General features: G+C 52.9%; 2 protein-coding genes across 11 annotated transcripts in view, besides 9 other annotated features; one reads left to right on the top strand and one right to left on the bottom strand.

Annotated features, from left to right (window-relative positions):
* Nucleotides 60-109: a silencer, noted in NCBI's record as "silent region_8560". NCBI's record gives its function as "represses an Ori minimal core promoter by ATAC-STARR-seq in GM12878 lymphoblastoid cells {active_cell/tissue: GM12878}" and the evidence as "EXISTENCE:reporter gene assay evidence [ECO:0000049][PMID:35858748]".
* Nucleotides 91-868: an enhancer, noted in NCBI's record as "H3K27ac-H3K4me1 hESC enhancer chr17:41623075-41623852 (GRCh37/hg19 assembly coordinates)". NCBI's record gives its function as "activates a minimal SCP1, AML or CMV promoter by ChIP-STARR-seq in naive H9 embryonic stem cells {active_cell/tissue: H9 hESC(naive)}" and the evidence as "EXISTENCE:reporter gene assay evidence [ECO:0000049][PMID:30033119]".
* Nucleotides 130-269: a silencer, noted in NCBI's record as "silent region_8559". NCBI's record gives its function as "represses an Ori minimal core promoter by ATAC-STARR-seq in GM12878 lymphoblastoid cells {active_cell/tissue: GM12878}" and the evidence as "EXISTENCE:reporter gene assay evidence [ECO:0000049][PMID:35858748]".
* Nucleotides 235-18,729, top strand: ETV4 (ETS variant transcription factor 4). Of its 10 annotated transcripts, none has more exons than NM_001079675.5 (13): nt 235-390; nt 907-1,017; nt 1,208-1,301; nt 1,553-1,600; nt 10,096-10,149; nt 12,590-12,716; nt 13,227-13,388; nt 13,636-13,901; nt 16,394-16,468; nt 16,623-16,691; nt 16,899-17,071; nt 17,339-17,440; nt 17,832-18,729. In NM_001079675.5, exons 2-13 carry the CDS (start codon nt 958-960, stop codon nt 18,054-18,056), a joined length of 1,455 nt encoding a protein of 484 aa, NP_001073143.1. In that variant the 5' UTR covers nt 235-390; nt 907-957; the 3' UTR covers nt 18,057-18,729. The 10 variants fall into 10 exon arrangements, with proteins under 10 accessions (NP_001073143.1, NP_001248366.1, NP_001356296.1 ...); NM_001369367.2 differs by lacking the exon at nt 235-390 and adding an exon at nt 676-714 and having other exon boundaries at nt 12,593-12,716; NM_001369368.2 differs by lacking the exon at nt 235-390 and adding an exon at nt 676-714 and having other exon boundaries at nt 16,394-16,453.
* Nucleotides 320-439: a silencer, noted in NCBI's record as "silent region_8558". NCBI's record gives its function as "represses an Ori minimal core promoter by ATAC-STARR-seq in GM12878 lymphoblastoid cells {active_cell/tissue: GM12878}" and the evidence as "EXISTENCE:reporter gene assay evidence [ECO:0000049][PMID:35858748]".
* Nucleotides 869-1,646: an enhancer, noted in NCBI's record as "H3K27ac hESC enhancer chr17:41622297-41623074 (GRCh37/hg19 assembly coordinates)". NCBI's record gives its function as "activates a minimal SCP1, AML or CMV promoter by ChIP-STARR-seq in primed H9 embryonic stem cells {active_cell/tissue: H9 hESC(primed)}" and the evidence as "EXISTENCE:reporter gene assay evidence [ECO:0000049][PMID:30033119]".
* Nucleotides 890-939: a silencer, noted in NCBI's record as "silent region_8557". NCBI's record gives its function as "represses an Ori minimal core promoter by ATAC-STARR-seq in GM12878 lymphoblastoid cells {active_cell/tissue: GM12878}" and the evidence as "EXISTENCE:reporter gene assay evidence [ECO:0000049][PMID:35858748]".
* Nucleotides 980-1,039: a silencer, noted in NCBI's record as "silent region_8556". NCBI's record gives its function as "represses an Ori minimal core promoter by ATAC-STARR-seq in GM12878 lymphoblastoid cells {active_cell/tissue: GM12878}" and the evidence as "EXISTENCE:reporter gene assay evidence [ECO:0000049][PMID:35858748]".
* Nucleotides 1,776-19,607, bottom strand: part of DHX8 (DEAH-box helicase 8) — a 60,825-nt gene continuing 42,993 nt past the window's right edge. The window contains exons 23-24 of the mRNA NM_001322219.2: nt 10,077-10,163; nt 1,776-2,413 (exon numbers count right to left, since the gene is read on the bottom strand). Coding sequence (NP_001309148.1) covers nt 10,097-10,163 — 67 coding nt within the window. The 3' untranslated portion in view covers nt 1,776-2,413; nt 10,077-10,096. The remainder of the gene's footprint in view (nt 2,414-10,076; nt 10,164-19,607) is intronic.
* Nucleotides 5,673-6,173: an enhancer, noted in NCBI's record as "H3K4me1 hESC enhancer chr17:41617770-41618270 (GRCh37/hg19 assembly coordinates)". NCBI's record gives its function as "activates a minimal SCP1, AML or CMV promoter by ChIP-STARR-seq in primed H9 embryonic stem cells {active_cell/tissue: H9 hESC(primed)}" and the evidence as "EXISTENCE:reporter gene assay evidence [ECO:0000049][PMID:30033119]".
* Nucleotides 17,439-17,980: an enhancer, noted in NCBI's record as "H3K27ac-H3K4me1 hESC enhancer chr17:41605963-41606504 (GRCh37/hg19 assembly coordinates)". NCBI's record gives its function as "activates a minimal SCP1, AML or CMV promoter by ChIP-STARR-seq in naive H9 embryonic stem cells {active_cell/tissue: H9 hESC(naive)}" and the evidence as "EXISTENCE:reporter gene assay evidence [ECO:0000049][PMID:30033119]".

Genomic DNA, 19,607 nt, shown 5'->3' with positions numbered 1-19,607 from the left:
GGAGCACTGAATGAAGCCGGGAGCCAACCCCTACATTCTGATTGGCCCCCGCGGCTGGGAAACTCCGCCCCCCGGCCAGGCCGGACGACTCTCCGGATTGGCGGGCGTGCCCAGCCCTGGGGTTCCATTCACAAAAGTCAATGAAACAAAGGGAAACGGGGGGCGGTGTGGCGGGGCGGGGGGTGGAGAGCTGAGGCCGAGCGAAGGAAATGCACCAATCAGCTGCTCCCCCGGGCTCACAACTGTCTGCTGCGCCCGAAAAACAAGTCGGTGCGCTGGGGACCCGGGGCCGGGGCCGCCTTACTCCGGCCTAGCCCCGCGGCCCTCGGTGCGGGCTCCAGGGCATGCTCGGGACCCCCCGCGGCTCCAGCCCAGACGCCCCGGCCTCAGGTGAGGCTGCGGGAGGGAAAGGGAGGGAGAGTGTCTGTGATTCCCCGCCTCGCCTCCAATGCACACCACACTCACTCTCACCACCCGCCTCCGCAGATTCCAGGGCGGGGGTGGGAGGTGCTGGGATTCAGGGTTGGAGGGGGCGCGGGAGTTGTGGGCATGCGATGGTGTGCGCTTCGCCTGCTCCTCCGCGCGCGCGCGCGTACACACACACACACACACACACACACACACACACACACACACACACGTTCTTATGTAACCGAGCCCGGGTAAAGCAGGGCTGCAGAAAGCAGAAACGGCGAGCCCGGCTCCTGGGAGCAGGTGGGACCTCCTTTGGCCTTTGGCGGGAGGGGAGTGGTGGTGGCGCTCGGCCTGGCAGGCGGAAACCTCGCCATCGCCCCAGTGAGTCGGAGAAGTTTCGCCGTCGGACCCAGAGCCTTGGGACTGCCCCCTCCCCGCCCCCATCGCAGCCCTCCCTGGACGGTGTGCGAACGCAGCCCCCTCCCCCACCAGGTCTCGGCCCCCGCTTGGGGCCCCGGCCGTGCGGCCGGAGGGAGCGGCCGGATGGAGCGGAGGATGAAAGCCGGATACTTGGACCAGCAAGTGCCCTACACCTTCAGCAGCGTGAGCGCCGCGCCGGCCTCCACGCCCGCCCCGCCCCGCACCCAGCCCCTACTCTCACCACAGCCCCCCTCCCCGCAGTCCCAGCGGAGTCCTGGGCTGCCCCGCCCCTGAGTCACCCGAGGACCCCAACCTCGTCCCCCAGACTAAGCGCCTCAGGGTGACTCGCGGGCATTCTCCCCGCTTCTCGCAGAAATCGCCCGGAAATGGGAGCTTGCGCGAAGCGCTGATCGGCCCGCTGGGGAAGCTCATGGACCCGGGCTCCCTGCCGCCCCTCGACTCTGAAGGTAAAGAGCAAGAGAGACAAACCGCGACCCTCCTCCGCCACACACACACACACACACACACACACACACACACACACACGGCCGATTCTGGAACCCCCGCCTGTTTCCCCAAAAAACTCGCCCTCCAAGGGATTTTGGTCATTCTTCTCGGTCCCTACTCCCAAGGCAGGGGAGTCACCGGGTCTTGCTAGGGCCCCTTCTCTCTTACCGTCCCCTCCACCTCACCTCCAATTCCACTATTTACCCCTCAGATCTCTTCCAGGATCTAAGTCACTTCCAGGAGACGTGGCTCGCTGAAGGTGAGTAGTTTTGTGACCTTTTCTATTTTGGGAGGCTGGACAGGGGGACACTCCGTAGCCCCTGGTATTCCACCCTAAGCCCTACACTTCTCCTCTCCCTTCCCTGCCTCAAGGAGTTCTCCAAGGCCCTCTCCCCAGGTCCCTTGCCACTCTACTCACCCCAGCACCCAGCGTGGACACTTATATTGATATTTATTTTCTCTACCCTGAGCCAGGCTTGTGTAACTAGGCTTGAGGATGAATCAGACCATTGTGTGGGGTATTTGCTTATTTGAATGGAACTTGGCCCCAGGCCCATTTTCCTGGTTGAAATTTTCATTTGTAAAGTTTGTTTTGCAGAAGCCGCCAGGCCAAGGTGCATGTTGGGGTGTTGTTGGTGGGGGGTGGGGGGAGAAATTAATTTGTCACTCATCCTCCAGAGTTGCCCAAGCATTGATTCTTATCCCCTGGGTTTCTCTTCTTCCCAACCCCCAGCACCAAACAATTTACTGTCCAAGCCAAAAGAACAACAAAAGTTTAAATAATTCTTTTCGGCAGTCCTTTGGCACAGAGAGCCCAGGGCTCCCTCCCCAAATAGCCTTGATTGTAATTCTAATAGCAAGTGTTCCTCCCTCTTCCATCCCGCTTGAATACCTCTGCCTCCAGGCAAATTCCCCCCTTCCTGTGTGCTGGGGAGTTAGCTGTGAGCTGGCTGGGGTGGGGTCCGTGGCTGGGTCCGTGGCTGGGTCTGATGGGGAAGTGGTGTGTTCAGGAGGTTTCCTGGTTGGATTCTTCAGTGCGTTTTGGTGGGGCCTGAGGGTGTCGCTGGTGGGGCTGCAGGTGGGAGGGAAAATGGTGGTTTAGACAGTCTCTGAGAGGGAAGGGTTAACTACCCCCATCTTAGGGTTTATTTTAACACTATGAAAATGAAGAAGCCAAAACACTAGGAACTCCTTTTTTGAGGTCTTTTTGAGGTATTTTCCTTAGGATCTCCTCATCCCTCCACCCTGGGTATCTAATTTTTTTAAAGCTCAAATCCAACTACCCTGGAACTCTCCATAGAAGCTCGGAGTAAAAAGAAAATGACCCCTGACTAGATCCTTGGAGTGAGACTAGGTCTGTCTTGCCCACTATGATATTCTAAAAATATATATGTTGACAGAATGACTATTTAGCATAGAGCAAGCACTCAAGACATTTTGTGGAAATAATGGCTGAATGGCTGTGTGAGTGCTGGAGGGATCTGGAGGTTCTGAGGGTATTGTGTGCATCATCCCCGACCCTGCAAGTCCTGCATGCCCAGCTCCAATTTACAGGCAGAGCTTTGCCCCGTCTCCCCATCCTTCTTCTGAGGTTCTGGAGCTGGGCTAGAGCTGAAGAATGCAGAGGTGTCAGTTTCCGTGGGCTCTCAAAGACTTCCTTTCCCAGTGCCTGATTTCTCTCTGGCTCACCGGGCTTCATTCCTTGCCTGTCAGCTGAGAGTCCCCACAGTGGGCAGCTCCTAGGGCTGTGAGCTAGGGGTGGGCTGAGGTTGGCATTTTGGCAGCAGCTGGTCCATCTGTGCCTGGGTTTGAGATGGGAGGGGGAGGAAAATGCTCTCATCTCTCTACCTTGGAAGTCCCACCCCTTGGCCAGGGGTCTGGAGAGGGTACAAATGTCTGTCTGTGTCAGTGTCGGTGTGACAGCAAGTGTGTGTGTGAGAGAGAGAGAGAGAGAGAGTGTGTGTGTGTTAGTTACATGCTGCTGCCCTGTACATTTAAATCCAGTGGGTGGGGAGGTGGGGTGGGGATTGCAAGGCGGAGGTGAGGGGGGTGGGCGCTGGGATCTCCTTGGTTCCCTCTCCTTCCTTCTGAGGGAGCAGCTCAGGTTCCCAGCTGGTGATGGATGGCCAGGTCTGAGGGGGGGATGCTGAGGCCGATCGCTCCTTCTCACTTTCTCTGCGGAGACAGATGCAGCTGCCGGGGCCCTGTCCCCCTGCACCATCCCAACACCACCCCAGCCTCCTCTCCTGTCTCTTCCCACCAGGTCAGTGACCCCGGCAACCCATGGGGAGCTTTGGGGTGGCAGGGAGGGACTAGCTTCTTTGGAAACTTGCCAGTGGTGGGACGCATTAGGAGGAAAGGGGACCAGAGCCCAACCTCCCTTTCTCAGTTTGGTTTTTTCCAAAGCCCCAATTTGAAGAGAAGCAGCAGGGGGGTCCTGGTAGTGTGGGTGGGTCTGTGAAGACAGCATTTGGAGGAGGCACAGGTTGGAGCCGGGCAGATACAGGAAGATTCCAGTGTGGTTGCAGGTTCAGTGTCCTGCGTCCGGGCGTTGAAGGGTGAGTGTGAGTGCGGCTTTATGGAGGCAGCTCACATATCCTTGGGGTTGGGTTTTTGTACACAGGGGTGAATGATGTGAGGCTAGGAGGGCGTGTCTGATTTGGGGGTGCCTGGGATCTGTTGAGATGTTGGGGAAAGAATCAGGCTGCTACAGGGAGACCCAGGCTCAGGCAGGCTGAGCCCAATATGTGTCTGGCTATGGTAAAAGATATGCTGGTTTTTTGTCCAAGGTTCCTTTCCAGGCTTGTCAGGAGCCCTGAATCCTTGGGGAAAATGACTTTGTTGTCTATTTGGTAGTAAGGGCCATTGACTCTAGGCCATGACCCCTTTGTGTGAGGCTCAGGTCTGTGGATTCCCAGAAGCCCTATGGATAGGTTGCTGGGATCCTTGATCCCTCTGATACTGTGTGTAAAATTGCTGGAAGTGCACCATACATAAAGGTGTATGGATTTTTTTAGGAAGAGAATGACCCATAGCTTTTATCAGATTCTCAAAGGGATCGATCGATCTGCGCTCCCCTTTTCACAGGAATCACTGCTCCCCAACCCTCCTCCAAGGGCTCCAGTCCCTTTGCCCTTTGGCTGTCCCAATCATATTTGTAGGTCAAAAAAAGACCCCATGTGTGGAGGGCATGCATGGAGGGCACATTTCACCCTGTGCTGTCTTGCTGCTGCAAGAGTGAAGTAAAAGGAATTAGGGTGTGTGCATCCCTGAATATGCGTCCGAGTGCATGTACACTGGTGCCTCGGCATGTCTGTGGGGAGGGATGAGGTTAATCTCCTCCCTAATCTTTCCCAGCTACAATGCCTCCTTCTCCATCTTTCTGTCTCTTCCCCTTCCTGAAGACTCTTGGGGACAAATATGTCCCCTCCACAACTAGTGAACTGGTTCCTTCCAGTACAGAGGCTGCCAGGGTGGGGGCAGGGTAAGGGACAGCGGTGACACAATGGAGCAGAAGCTCTGGAGAATGCCTCTACCCCCTTCACCCTATGACTGGATCCTGGGAAGAGGGTGACCGAGCATATGTAGTGTGGGTGGCTAACCTATGGTGAGCTTCAGTGTATCTCTGTTTTAACCTCTCAGTTCTTCCAGAATCCAGCTTGGGAGACCCCCCAAGCCCCTCCTCTTTTTTTACTAACCCCCCTTTTTGAAAGGAGAGTCCCTAAAATTCTTTCTCTCTCTCTGGGCATTATGCTGTCTTGGCACTTTTCCCACCCCCTCCTTAATCATCTGCCTCGTCCCCAGACAGATAAACTCCATCTTAGTACCGGGATGGAGCTGGGGACAGACCCTGGCACACTGGCTTGGCAGCCAAGACTCAGCCAAGTTAACAAATAAATAAAGAGAGTGGTGTACACTTAAGACGAAACATGGTAATTAAAAATTCTCCTGCTCTCCAGGAACGCGAGGCTCAGTGTTCCTGTTTCTATCCTGTTGACAGTCTCTGGATGACTGAGGGCCCTGGCCTACCCCTTTGGGAGAAGGCCAGTGTTTGGGGGAGGGGCTGAGCTAGGACAGATTTCTCCTGGCTCTGGGAAGAGGATGGCACCACCTCTTTTGGGGTGTGGTCTGTGTGCTGGAGGAAGCCTCCTCCTGGATTCCGGGCCTGGAGGGGTCCCTGGTTAAACTGTCAGGCCCGAGGCAGGAAGAAAGGCAAGATGATGCTGAGGGTTCTCTGCTCTCCAGCACCAGTGACGCCAGCAAGAGATACCCCCAGCCCATTACCTCAATGGAAAGTAGCAGTTAATGAGGCCCCAGGGGTGGGGCCGGAATGCGTCAGCCACCCCTGAGTTCTGCACCACCCTTTCCCTTGGGACCCTTCTTGCCTAGTAGGAGGGAGGGAAATGTTGGTCACTCTGCTCCCATCACCCCAGCTTCCTGCCACCTTGGGGGATGTTGCCTCTGAATGGACCAGAGGGCACAGTGGGGAGCCTGGCTTTGCATCCCTGGGCAGGTGGACAGATTTGGCCTCTTACCCTCTATCCAAATGTGCCTATTTTTAAGGTTGTGGTGGCTGAAGTGAAAGGATTACCTGAGCCCAGGAGTTAGAGGCTGCAGTGAGCTCTGATTGTGCCACTGCACTCAAGCCTGACACAGGAGACTTCCTTATAATAGATTTTAAAATGCAGATGCCTGGGCCCCACCCCAGTCCTATGGAATGGGACTCTCCGGAGGAGGGGACTGGGAATCGTGTTTTTATTTTATTTTTATTATTGTTATTTGAGACAGGGTCTCACTCTGTTGCCCAGGCTGGAGTGCATTGGTGCTATCTTGGCTCACTGCAACCTCCACCTCCTGGGTTCAAGCGATTCTCCTGTCTCAGCCTCCAGAGTAGCTGGGATTACAGGCGAGAACCACCATGCCTGGCTAATTTTTGTATTTTTAGTAGAGATGGGGTTTCGCCACATTGGCCAGGCTGGTGTAGAATTCCAGACCTCAGATCGTCTGCCTGCCTCAGCCTCCCAAAGTGCTGGGATTACAGGCGTGAGCCACCACACCTGGCTGTAATCGTGTTTTTAACAACGTCCTGGTGACTCTTGAATCAGGCCAGTTTGGGAATGGTTGTCTTTTTGCCGTGTTTGTGCTCCTGAAAAGATGTGTGCTGGCTGTGTGTTTCTGTTTGTTCTTGCCAGCGGATTTCATGTCTCATTGATGTCTTTGGTCACTTCAGACCAAAGTATTATTATGTTGACTTGTCCTAAGTTCTCGTTTAGCTGCTGGTGGCTTGTGATTGTTAAACTCCCTCTCCCTAATGCTTCTGTCAAGAAATCAACTATCTATTAATATAAGCCTATGTTTATAAACACTTGGCACCTCTGATATTTAAAGCAAATTGTTGAAGAATATTCTTGCCAAGCAACATATCACAACCTAAAATATCCCCTGTGAGATGTGCTTTCCTGGAGAGGACCTGCCTCTAGTGTTGCCTTGTGTGTGGAGAGGGGGAGCCTGCAGGGAAGGGCTAGGATGGTCAGGATCTCTTCAGTGCATGCCCTCAGGCCCACAGTGCTGACTTCTGCCAGCCTGAGGACAAACGATTATTGCATGTTTATTCATGTAGTCAAGAAATAACAGCACTGAGCGTCTACTCTAACCCTGTGCTGGGTGCTGGGGCATCAGATGACAAAAAAGATAAAGCTCTTGCCCTCACAGAGCTTAACTTCCTGGTGGAGGAGATAGGTAGATAACAAACAGGTAAACATAAATTAATATATTCAGGTGGCAATATGTGCCAGGGAGAAAACAAAACATAGATGCAATAGAGAGCCAGGAGGAACCACTTTGGTTTAGGGGTGGTCAGAGAAGGCCTCTCCAGAGATGTCAAAGTGAGCTGAGACTCTGATGGTCAGGAAAAAAAGAAAAAGGCAAGAAAGCATCTGGGGAAGAAGGAACAAGCTCAGCAGCTTTGAGGGCTAGAAAGGAGACCAGAGTGCTGCAGATTCACAGGCAAGGAGAGGCAGGTCAGAGAGGTAGGCAAGGCCAAGTCATGCAGAGCCTTGGAGGCCAAGGGCAAGCGTTTGGATTTCATGCTTTAAATAACAGAGAGAAATGATTTTATTTCTGTTGTAAAAAGATCACTGTGACACCTAGGTGGAGAGCAAGGGACCATAGGAGGTAAGAATGAAAATAGGGTATCCTGGTAAGAGGCCGTGGGTGAAATCCAAGTAAGAAATGATGGAGCCTTAGCCTAGAGAGAAGCAAAAGAGATGGGATATGTATTTGTATAGGCCGGGGGTGTGGAGGTTTTTTCTAGCCATCTCATACCCCTCACCAGCCATTTTGACCTCTCTGGGCATTTTATCAGTTTCCCCATTGTCCAATCTGAGAGCAGTCTCCAGGGAAGGAGAGAGCAGTCTCCAGGGAAGGAGAGTCCAGCCTCCTCGGGCTACAGGTTCCACTGCATCACCCTAGAACCACTCTCTTCCTGGAATAATATCAGGAAGTTCTTCTTGGTGTCTACATTTCCTGCTGTGATCCATTTATTTTTGAGAGAGGGGCAAAAGTGGGCCAAGACTCTGGGATCAAGGGAGATTCTTAGCTGTATAACCACCTGAGAAGCCCCGCTCTGGGGAGGCCAGAATAAGAACTAGAAATCAGAGTTTGATGTTCAGGTTAGAAGCCATGGATGAGCTGCTGCTGTATTTCAGTTTTCCTGCCTATTCCCCAACCCAGCTCCACCCATCCTGGCATCCTGGGAGAGCTCTTCGGATCACCAACCTTGGGAATCCCTCCCCTCCTTAGCTGCACATTAAGGGGATGAGGCACCTATGTACTCAGCCAGTGTCCTTTGCCTTCTGCAGTGGTCCCAGTCACCAGCCTCCTGCTCTCCCACTGTCATCCTCCTTTTTTATTTTATTTATTTATTTTTGAGATGGAGTCTTGCTCTGTCGCCAGGCTGGAGTGCAGTGGTGTGATCTCAGCTCACTGCAACCTCCACCTCCCGGGTTCAAGTTATTCTCCTGTCTCAGCCTCCGGAATAGTTGGGATTACAGGCGTGCCACCACGTCCAGCTAATTTTTTTTTTTTTTTTTTTGAAATGGAGTCTTGCTCTGTCACCCAGGCTGGAGTGCAGTGGCCTGATCTTGGCTCACTACAAGCTCCGCCTCCCAGGTTCACGCCATTCTCTTGCCTCAGGCATACTCCTGCCTCAGGATTAGCTGGGACTACAGGCACCCGCCACCACACCCGGCTAATTTTTTTTGTATTTTTAGTAGAGACAGGGTTTCACTGTGTTAGCCAGGATGGTCCTGATCTCCTGACCTGGTGATCTGCCCGCCTCAGCCTCCCAAAGTGCTGGGATTACAGGCGTGAGCCACCGCGCCCGGCCTAATTTTTGTATTTTTAGTAGAGACAGGATTTCACCATGCTGGTCAGGCTGGTCTCAAACTCCTGACCTCGTGATCCGCCCACCACGGCCTCCCAAAGTGCTGGGATTACAGGCATGAGCCACCATGCCCGGCCTTTATTTTTCATTTTTTGGAACAGAGTCTCACTTTGTCACCCAGGCTGGAGTGCAGTGGCATGATCTCAGCTGACTGCAACCTCTGCCTCCTGGGTTCAAGCAATTCTCCTGCCTCAGCCTTCCGAGTAGCTGGGATTACAGGTGCCCACCGCCACGCCTGACTAATTTTTTAATTTTTTAGTAGAGATGGGAGTTTCACTTTGTTGGCCAGGCTGGTCTCAAACTCCTGATCTCAAGTGATCCTCCCACCTCAGCCTCCCAAAGTGCTGGGATTACAGGCATGAACCACTGCGCCCAGCCACCCCCCTATGTGATTTTATTTATTATTTAATTTTATTTTTCTTTTGAGATGGAGTTTCACTCTTGTTGCCCAGGCTGGAGTGCAGTGGTGCGATCTCAGCTCACTGCAACCTCTGCCTCCCAGGTTCAAGCGATTCTTCTGTCTCAGCTCCTGAGTAGCTGGGATTATAGGCTCCCGCCAACACGACCAGCTAAGTTTTGTACTTTTAGTAAAGATGGGGTTTCGTCATGTTGGCCAGGCTGGTCTCGAACTCCGGACCTCAGGTGATCCACCCGCCTTGACTTCCCAAAGTGCTGGGATTATAGGCGTGAGCCACCATGCCTGGCCGCCTCCTATGTGATTTTTAAATCCACAGGATCCCACTGCTTATAATGCCTGCCCATCCTAGATATGACTGTTGTGAGCTTTAAGGGAGTTTTGTAAACTCTGAGGGGCGAGGCTGTTTCACTTCAGAAAAATGGAGGAAATAAAGACAAAGCATCTAGAAGAAGAAAGACTGGAATCTGCTCAGACAGGTTCTGAGAACAGTCTTCCCTCCTGGGTCTTAGTGGAGCCCAGAGGTGGAAGACACTAGGACCTAGGGTGGAGCAGCCTTTAGTCTCAAGCAAGCTTGTCCAACCCGTGGGCCTGTGGGCCACTTTCAGCCCAGGGTAGCTTTGAATGCGGCCCAGGCCCAACATAAATTCCTTGTAAAATTTCTTAAAACATTATGAGATTTGTTTGTGATTTTAAGTTCATCAGCTATCGTTAGTGTTAGTGTATTTGTGTATTTTATGTGTGGCCCAAGACAATTCTTACAATGTGGACACCCCTGATCTAAAGGCTGTTGGTCCTTTCTTGGCTGTTGCTAATCTGCAGGGCTGTAATAATGGAGCCTCCCAGGGGACAACCAGGGCTCCGCCCCAAACTCACCTCTGACTTCTCTCTGCAGCTCAGGTACCAGACAGTGATGAGCAGTTTGTTCCTGATTTCCATTCAGAAAACCGTGAGTAGAGGTCCCTGGGGAGAGGGTATAGGGAGTGGAGGATGGCAGGAAGTGAGTCATAGGATAGAGAATCACAAGAGAGCAGCTTGTTCTCTCCTAAAACACAGTGGGGTTTGATCTTAAAGACCAAGGCAATAACTGGAATGAAAACCTTGGTTGAAATCTGGGGCTTGACATGTTCTTGCTGTGTGACCTTAGAGCAGACACTATCCCTCTGGTTCTCCATTGCCTTATATCTGAAGTGAGGGGCCTGGGCCAGTTCAGCAGAGTCCAGTTCTAGTGTTGTTTGTTTGTTTGTTTGTTTGTTTTCCCCCCAAGACAGAGTCTTGCTCTGTCACCCAGGCTGGAGTGCAGTGGCACAATCTCGGCTCACTGCAACTTCCGCCTCCCGGGTTTAAGCCATTCTCCTGCCTCAGCTTCCAGAGTAGCTGGGATTACAGGCATGCACAACCACACCCAGCTAATTTTTGTATTTTTAGTAGAGATGGGGTTTCACCATGTTGGCCAGGATGGTCTCGAATTCCTGACCTTGTGATCCGCCCACCTCGGCCTCCCATAGTGTTGGGACTACAGGCGTGAGCCCAGTGCGCCCGCCCCCAGTTCTAGTATTCTAAGTCACTTCCATAAACTGGGGACAATTTTGCCTCCCAAGAGACATTTGGTAATATCTGTAGACATTTTTGGTTGTCACAGTTGAGGGTGGGGTGCTACTGGTGTCTAGTGGATAGAGAGGCCAGGGATACTGCTAAAAGCATCCTATGATGCTCAGGACCGCTCCTTACAATATTATTAATAAAACACTATCTGGCCCACAGGTCAGTAGTGCCACTGTTGAGAAACCCTGCTTTAGGCTGGGTGTGGTGGCTCACGCCTGTAATCCCAGCACTTTGGGAGGCTGAGGCGCGTGGATCACATGAGGTCAGGAGTTTGAGACCAACCTGGCCAACATGATGAAATTCCGTCTTTACTAAAATACAAAAATTAGCCGGGCATGGTGGCGTGTACCTGTAATCCCAGCTACTCAGGAGGCTGAGGCATGAGAATCGCTTGAACCTGGGAGGCGGAGGTTGCAGTGAGGCAAGATTGAGCCACTGCACTCCAGCCTGGGTGACAGAGCGAGGCTCCATCTCAAAAAAAACAAAAACCAAAAAACAAACCCTGCTTTAATGTCAGATACTTTGCTGTCAACTGTCTTCACCAGTGAAACAATGGGGCACAAAGAATCAAAAACAGCAGAGAATAGTTGGTTACAAACGGCATTTGACTGGACTGCGGTTAAAACTGAATCTCACACCGGCTTGGAACCAACTCTTTGCTGCTCAGCCTCGTGGCCAGAGTTTGGGAACCCCGCAGGGGCCACAGGAAAGGCCAGTGTTCTTCACAGATAAGTAGGAGCATGTGTATAATGTTAGTCAGCTGACATTCAAGTGGGCCAATATCCAACCTCAACCAGAAAAAGAAAGATTCTTTTATTTATTTATTTAGAGACAGAGTTTCACTCTTGTTGCCCAGGCTGGAGTGCAATGGTGTGATCTCGGCTCACTGCAACCGCTGCCTCCCAGGTTCAAGCAATTCTCCTGCCTCAGCCTCCCGAGTAGCTGGGATTAAAGGGATGTGCCACCACGCCCGGCTAATTTTTTTGTATTTTAGTAGAGATGGGGTTTCTCTATGTTGGTCAGGCTGGTCTTGAACTTCTGACTTCAGGTGATCCGCCCGCCTCGGCCTCCCAAAGTGCTGGGATTACAGGCGTGAGCCACCGCGCCCGGCCAAGAAAGATTCTTTATATCCTCAAATAAGAAAACATGTCACTCCCCTGGAATTTTCCAGGGCACTCAGGAAAACTACAGGCCCTAGGTTGGAGGTGCTCACTCCTTGAAAGTGTTTTCTGGGGCCTGGGGTTGCATTAAATGTTTTTGTTTTTTGTTTCTTTTTGAGACGGAGTCTCGCTCTGTCACCCAGGCTGGAGTGCAGTGGCATGATCTCGGCTCACTGCAATCCCCGCCTCCTGGGTTCAAGCAATTCCCTTGCCCCAGCCTCCTGAGTAGCTGGGACTACAGGCATCCGCCACCATCCCCGGCTAATTTTTTTTTGTATTTTTAGTAGAGACAGGGTTTCACCATGTTGGCCAGGCTGGTCTTGGACTCCTGCCTCCCAAAGTGCTGGGATTACAGGTGTGAGCTACCGTGCCCAGCCTAAATGTTGAACTTTAGATGGTTTATTTAGTCAATAATCAGACACTAGTCTGATGTATAAACTAGACATAATGTAAATAGCCAAAATGTTCTTGTCTCACTGCGGGTCTCAGAAAATTGATACCCAGAGAGGGAAGGAGGCTGTACCAGTCACCCAGCTGGTCCTCAAAGCTCAGAAGGTATCAGAAGCCCTGCCTGCCTCTTGTGTGACAGGCTCTGGCCTTGCTCTGTCCCCTCCACCCCCACAGTAGCTTTCCACAGCCCCACCACCAGGATCAAGAAGGAGCCCCAGAGTCCCCGCACAGACCCGGCCCTGTCCTGCAGCAGGAAGCCGCCACTCCCCTACCACCATGGCGAGCAGTGCCTTTACTCCAGGTGAGCCCCAGCCTGGACCTGGTGAAGGGTAGGAGAAGGGTTCCAGAGGAGGGAGGCAGGGGGCACCCATGAGCAGAGGCAGCAGCTGAGATGCAAGTTAGACAACAGAAAGGATTTTCTAGCACTTGTAAGGAAGCAATACAGCTAAGGATTTCCTCTGAATAGACGGAAAACGCAGCAGAGGGCCTCAGGAATATATACTGAGGCCAGAGCAGATTCTGTTTCCACCAAGAGGCCCACTGTCCCACCTAAACCATTGCTCTGAGCAACAAATCCCCCCTGTATGAATCCCAGGGGTTCAAGACTAGCCTGGGCAACAGAGGGAGACTGTCTCTGAAAAAGAAAAGAATTGGCTAGGGCTGAGTCTGTGGCTCCTGCCGTTCCCTTCTCAGCCCCCTCTATCCTTCCTTCTCCTGTAATCCCTGTGACCTCGCTTTCCTAGGAATGAAGGGTTCAAAGATGCTTTCCAGCTTCTCTGCCCCCTCACCCCTGTCTCCTTCTCAACTCCAGTGCCTATGACCCCCCCAGACAAATCGCCATCAAGTCCCCTGCCCCTGGTGCCCTTGGACAGTCGCCCCTACAGCCCTTTCCCCGGGCAGAGCAACGGAATTTCCTGAGATCCTCTGGCACCTCCCAGCCCCACCCTGGCCATGGGTACCTCGGGGAACATAGGTAAGGAGACAGGGAAACCCACTGCTCATGGGCCCAGGTGTTTTTTCAATTCCTGAGTGTTCTCCATAAAGACTTGAGCTGTGGGGTGGTAGAGGCAGGGGGCAGTGGAATAGAAAGGGAGAAATACTGACACCCCAACCCCCTACCCCCCATTCCGGAGCCCACTCTAAAAGCCTAGGAGTAACAGGCTCGAGGAAGGATTAATTTAAAGTTCTCTTCTCTTCCTTCTCCATCCAACCACATCCAGCTCCGTCTTCCAGCAGCCCCTGGACATTTGCCACTCCTTCACATCTCAGGGAGGGGGCCGGGAACCCCTCCCAGCCCCCTACCAACACCAGCTGTCGGAGCCCTGCCCACCCTATCCCCAGCAGAGCTTTAAGCAAGAATACCATGATCCCCTGTATGAACAGGCGGGCCAGCCAGCCGTGGACCAGGGTGGGGTCAATGGGCACAGGTACCCAGGGGCGGGGGTGGTGATCAAACAGGAACAGACGGACTTCGCCTACGACTCAGGTAAGAGACTGGGGTGGGGCAGGGTGGCATGTGATCAAGTGTTCAGTTAAGCCCAGAATGTCTCCCGAGTTTTTTTACATTGCTGTTTACCATTTCATACATCCAACCCACCCACCCACTTTTTTTCTTCATAATTTCAAAAGAATGTTATTTTTCTTTCTTTTTCTTTTTTTTTTTGAAATGGGGTCCTGCTCTGGCCCAGGCTAGAGTGCAGTGGCACGATCTCTGCTCACTGCAACCTCTGCCTACCGGGTTCAAGCGATTCTTGTGCCTCAGCCTCCCGAGTACCTGGGATTACAGGCACCAGCCACCGTGCCCGGCTAATTTTTGTATTTTTAGTAGAGATGGGGTTTCGCCATGCTGGCCAGGATGGTCTCGAACTCCTGACTTCATATGATCCATCGCCTCGGCCTCCCAAAGTGCTGTGATTATAGACATGAGCCACCTCACCCGGACAAATTATTACTTTTCAATGAGCAAACCTATATTCAGATTAAAAGATAAGGGGGGCCCCCGGGGCATGGTGAGTCATCTGTAATCCCAGCACTTTAGGAGGCCATGGCAGGAGGATCGTTTGAGCCCAGGAATTAGTTCAAGGCCAGCTTAGGCAACAAAGTGAGACCTCGTGTCTATTTATAAAAAAGTAAAATTAAAATAAAGGGGGATGTAGATCCTGCCCTCAGGTAGCTTGTGACTTAATAGGGAAGTTAAGGCATTTATTTCTATTTAACAGGTGTTTGAGGTTTTAATTACCTATTAAGACCAAACTACTGTGACAGGAACACGAGTGTGCAGAGTTGGGAAATACAAAGATGAATAGGATGTGTCTGGTCCCTATCCCCACAGAGGCTTAAAAATACAAAGGGATTTGAATGAAGAGAAACATGAATTTGAAACTAGCCAGGCTCATGGTTCTTGCTAGTTCTCAATAGGAGGGCAGGGTTTTCTTGTTTTGTTTTGTTTTGTTTGTTTTGAGACAGAGTCTTGCTCTGTTTGTTTGTTTTGAGATGGAGTCTTGCTCTCTCGCCCAGGCTGGAGTGCCACTGGGTTCAAGCGATTCTCATGCTTCAGCCTCCCGAATAGCTGGGGTTACAGGTGCCCATCACCATGCCCAGCTAGTTTTTGTATTTTTAGTAGAGACGGGGTTTCACCATGTTGATCAAGCTGGTAGAAGCACAGGTTAATATGTGGCTTACATATTTGAGCCTCCCAATTGATGTATGCCCTGGCCAGAGGCAAGGGCAGAGGAAGTAGGGACTTCTTTAAATTCTAGTTCCACCTGGCTGTTGACTGGAGTGAGATGCACTCACCTGTGTTCATAAATAGCTATAGTTCAAAGCCTCAAGGGCCGAAGGAGGGCCAGTCCCAGGAAGGGTCCAGAAAACCCTGCCTTTTCTTCTTTCCTCCTGGCTTTTGTTACATTAGTAGCCCTAGATCTGAGTTTATTAGAGTAGGCCCAGAGCTAGCTAGAACTTTAGAATTTCCCTTTTTGTGGTGCCCACAACCGTTCAAGGGCAGGGGGATGAACCACAACCCCCCAGGCTGTCCAACTAAGAACCGGATGGTGCTCCTGTCCTCAAATCCAGGGCATAAGCCTGAGCCAGGCTTGGCAGTGAGCTGGGGAGAGGAGGAGGGAGGCACTCTTGCCGCTGACCTTCAAAGGCTGTAGACCGGAGGGGATTGTGTTACATGCCCTTGAACTCCTGCCCCTCCCCCCAGCTACTCCTGAATGGAGTCAGGAATTCCATTCACAAAATGGAGGCATGAATGAGCCCACCCTCCCGCCTCCTCCCGGAGGTGTCATGTTTCACCATCTTCTCATTCATAGGTGGGAGTGCAGTGGGGGGAGGGCGGGAAGGGGTTGGAACTTGAACGGGTGGCTTCACACAGCCGCCTTCCCGATGTGGAGTGGGAAGGTTCCTATCCTATGGAATGGAATGAAACGAAGTGGAATGTGCTCTGTTAGACCTGAAAAAACAAGGCCCAGTGCCCACTGCCTCTTCCCCAGGTGCATGCAGGCGCACGCTCTGTTTCTGTCACACACACACACACACACACACACACGCGCGCGTGCACAGGGCTGGGAACCTGACCTGCTGACCGGACATTTTTGTCCATTCTGAGGGAGTCTTAGGCGTGGACACCGAACTCTTTCCCCGGACGTTCATCTCACCCTCCCTCCTCCCCCTGAACTCGCAGGAAACAGCTGCTCCCTGGCAGCTTGGGCCCTTCAGAACAGCTTGCCCAGCCCCCGCTGCTGCCTTCCATGGCCTCAGCCGCAGCCCTCAAGTTGAGGAGGGGTTCCAGCATCACACTCCCTCTGGGTGAACTTTCCCTGGGATTTTGTGGTTGGCAGGCAACCTGGGCAAAGAACAGTCACCAGGAAGCAGGCTGGAAGGAAGAAATTCTTGAATGTGGATAGGACTTCCTCCTCCCCTGCCCTCGAGCTCCACCCCAAGCCACTTCTCACATCACCCCTTCTTCCCCCACAGATGTCACCGGGTGCGCATCAATGTACCTCCACACAGAGGGCTTCTCTGGGCCCTCTCCAGGTGACGGGGCCATGGGTAAGGCAGCCCCCCTTCCCCTGCCAAGCCCTCCATGTTGGGGGAGGGAGCGCTGCCATGGGGGAGGGTCTCCCTGGCCAGGAGTCCCTCTGGACTCTCTGGGGTCTCATCGGTGAACCCCCAGATCTGAGCAACCCCCAATTTCCTCCACAAGGCTATGGCTATGAGAAACCTCTGCGACCATTCCCAGATGATGTCTGCGTTGTCCCTGAGAAATTTGAAGGTCAGAGAAGTGACTGTTGATGGGAGGGTCAAGGTCTTATCACGCTGTGTCCCTGCAGGAGTCACATCACGTTTCATTGTTGCAAGAGGGTGGGACCCATAGAAAAGTACCTGGGGAGACCCCTTCGAGAAATCCCTCGGGTGGGAGGCGGTTGCTTGGGGGACCAAAAGACACAAACCCCACACCTCCTATTTTCGTGTTCCCCAGGAGACATCAAGCAGGAAGGGGTCGGTGCATTTCGAGAGGGGCCGCCCTACCAGCGCCGGGGTGCCCTGCAGCTGTGGCAATTTCTGGTGGCCTTGCTGGATGACCCAACAAATGCCCATTTCATTGCCTGGACGGGCCGGGGAATGGAGTTCAAGCTCATTGAGCCTGAGGAGGTGGGCCTCTCGGATGTTCCCAGCCCTCCTTTCCAAAGTTTACAGCCTGGAGGTGGGAGAACCTGGGAAATGGTGGCACGTGCCTCCATCATGATTCTTGCTTTACCTAACCTGAATTCTTGCCAAGCCTAAGTCTGTGGGCTGATGCTTTGTTGCAGAGCTAGCTTGGCACTTTGCACCAAGAATCTCAAGTGCTCTTTCTGACCTTACCCCCATTTTTTCCTCTGCCAAGGTAGCATCTCTACCCCAAAACTGTTTTGTTCCCAGGTCGCCAGGCTCTGGGGCATCCAGAAGAACCGGCCAGCCATGAATTACGACAAGCTGAGCCGCTCGCTCCGATACTATTATGAGAAAGGCATCATGCAGAAGGTGGGGGCTGTGGGTCTAGGGACAAGGTGGTGGGGGGCAGTGGCTGTGAGAAGCTGACTGGGGAGAGGGTCAGCAGGGCAGTTCTCAGCAACTTTGTAGGATCAGATAATGAATCAGTCAGAGAGACAAGAAATTGTGGAGAATCCCAAGGTTCTCCTCCCCCAAAAAAGTGCAACACTGTAACTGAGAAGCCCAAGCATGGAGAAGTTGAGATGAAAAAGGAGTAAGAACTGTGAAGGGAGAGTCAGCTTCTCAGGAACCAGCATGGGAGAGAAATGCCCCGAGCATCTGCCTGTACTGGTAGAAGGGCCACATTCCCCACTCCCCCACCTTACCCCATACAAAGGCTGGGCGGCTAGCCAGGCTGACCAGACCTTCTCTCTCCCCATAGGTGGCTGGTGAGCGTTACGTGTACAAGTTTGTGTGTGAGCCCGAGGCCCTCTTCTCTTTGGCCTTCCCGGACAATCAGCGTCCAGCTCTCAAGGCTGAGTTTGACCGGCCTGTCAGTGAGGAGGACACAGTCCCTTTGTCCCACTTGGATGAGAGCCCCGCCTACCTCCCAGAGCTGGCTGGCCCCGCCCAGCCATTTGGCCCCAAGGGTGGCTACTCTTACTAGCCCCCAGCGGCTGTTCCCCCTGCCGCAGGTGGGTGCTGCCCTGTGTACATATAAATGAATCTGGTGTTGGGGAAACCTTCATCTGAAACCCACAGATGTCTCTGGGGCAGATCCCCACTGTCCTACCAGTTGCCCTAGCCCAGACTCTGAGCTGCTCACCGGAGTCATTGGGAAGGAAAAGTGGAGAAATGGCAAGTCTAGAGTCTCAGAAACTCCCCTGGGGGTTTCACCTGGGCCCTGGAGGAATTCAGCTCAGCTTCTTCCTAGGTCCAAGCCCCCCACACCTTTTCCCCAACCACAGAGAACAAGAGTTTGTTCTGTTCTGGGGGACAGAGAAGGCGCTTCCCAACTTCATACTGGCAGGAGGGTGAGGAGGTTCACTGAGCTCCCCAGATCTCCCACTGCGGGGAGACAGAAGCCTGGACTCTGCCCCACGCTGTGGCCCTGGAGGGTCCCGGTTTGTCAGTTCTTGGTGCTCTGTGTTCCCAGAGGCAGGCGGAGGTTGAAGAAAGGAACCTGGGATGAGGGGTGCTGGGTATAAGCAGAGAGGGATGGGTTCCTGCTCCAAGGGACCCTTTGCCTTTCTTCTGCCCTTTCCTAGGCCCAGGCCTGGGTTTGTACTTCCACCTCCACCACATCTGCCAGACCTTAATAAAGGCCCCCACTTCTCCCATTAGTTCTCCTGTGTCCTCTTTGCTGCCATGTGGGAACAGACCTGGGGGTAGAAAGAGCTCTGGTCTTGAAGCAGAGCTGACTGGTTTGGGGCCAGGCCCTGGCGCTTAAATCCTCATGTAGATTTGAAAAAAGGCAGTTCACCTGACTGTTTCTCTTCTGAAAAATGGGCTTAATGATACCTGCCCTTCCCCCTTCCCAGCATTACTGTGTGAGGATCCAGAAATAATGGACAGGGGGTACTTGATAACCTGGACAGGCGCCCCTTGTGCACTTTGGGCCTGCTTCCAGCAGCAGTCTCCCTGCCCCTGTGGGCGGGTCAGGTGGGCTACTGAGTGGCAAGGGTCTCCCTCCTGGGACTTCCTCAGACAGGGTTTTGGTCTTTGGTTTCTGTGATCCCAGTTGTTCCCATGACCCTGCTGTCCCACATAGACCCCAATTGCATGTCCTCCCTCCTACCTCAGCTCTAGGTTGCTACTTTTGCTGGGGTTGGGGACAAGTGTTTGTCTGGAGAATGGGGCAAAGGAGAAAGGCTCCCAGGCCAGATGGTACAGAGAGAGGCTAGAGCAGGCCCTGGATTCTGGCCAGTGGAGATTAGATCTTCCGGGGAGTGGGAAACACCTAGATTCTCCTTGCCCAAATTTGGGAGAGATCAGAGTCCTGAGGCTGAGTTTTTTGGGGGTAGGTAGAAATGGCAAAGTGGACAACATGGTGACACCTATGGAGGACGTATGACTGAGATGTGACAACAGGTGGGAGGGGCAGAATGGGTGGTTCTAGAGCCAGCTGCTATGTAAACCGCTGCCCAGGAGACATGCTCAGGTAAAAACCGGTGCTCTCCTGTTAAATAGAAACTGCAGCTGTGCTGAGGTTGGGCCA

Source organism: Homo sapiens, chromosome 17 (assembly GCF_000001405.40).
Source record: "Homo sapiens chromosome 17, GRCh38.p14 Primary Assembly".
NCBI classification, from domain to species: domain Eukaryota; kingdom Metazoa; phylum Chordata; class Mammalia; order Primates; family Hominidae; genus Homo; species Homo sapiens.
This window is presented reverse-complemented; position numbering and strand designations above follow the sequence as displayed.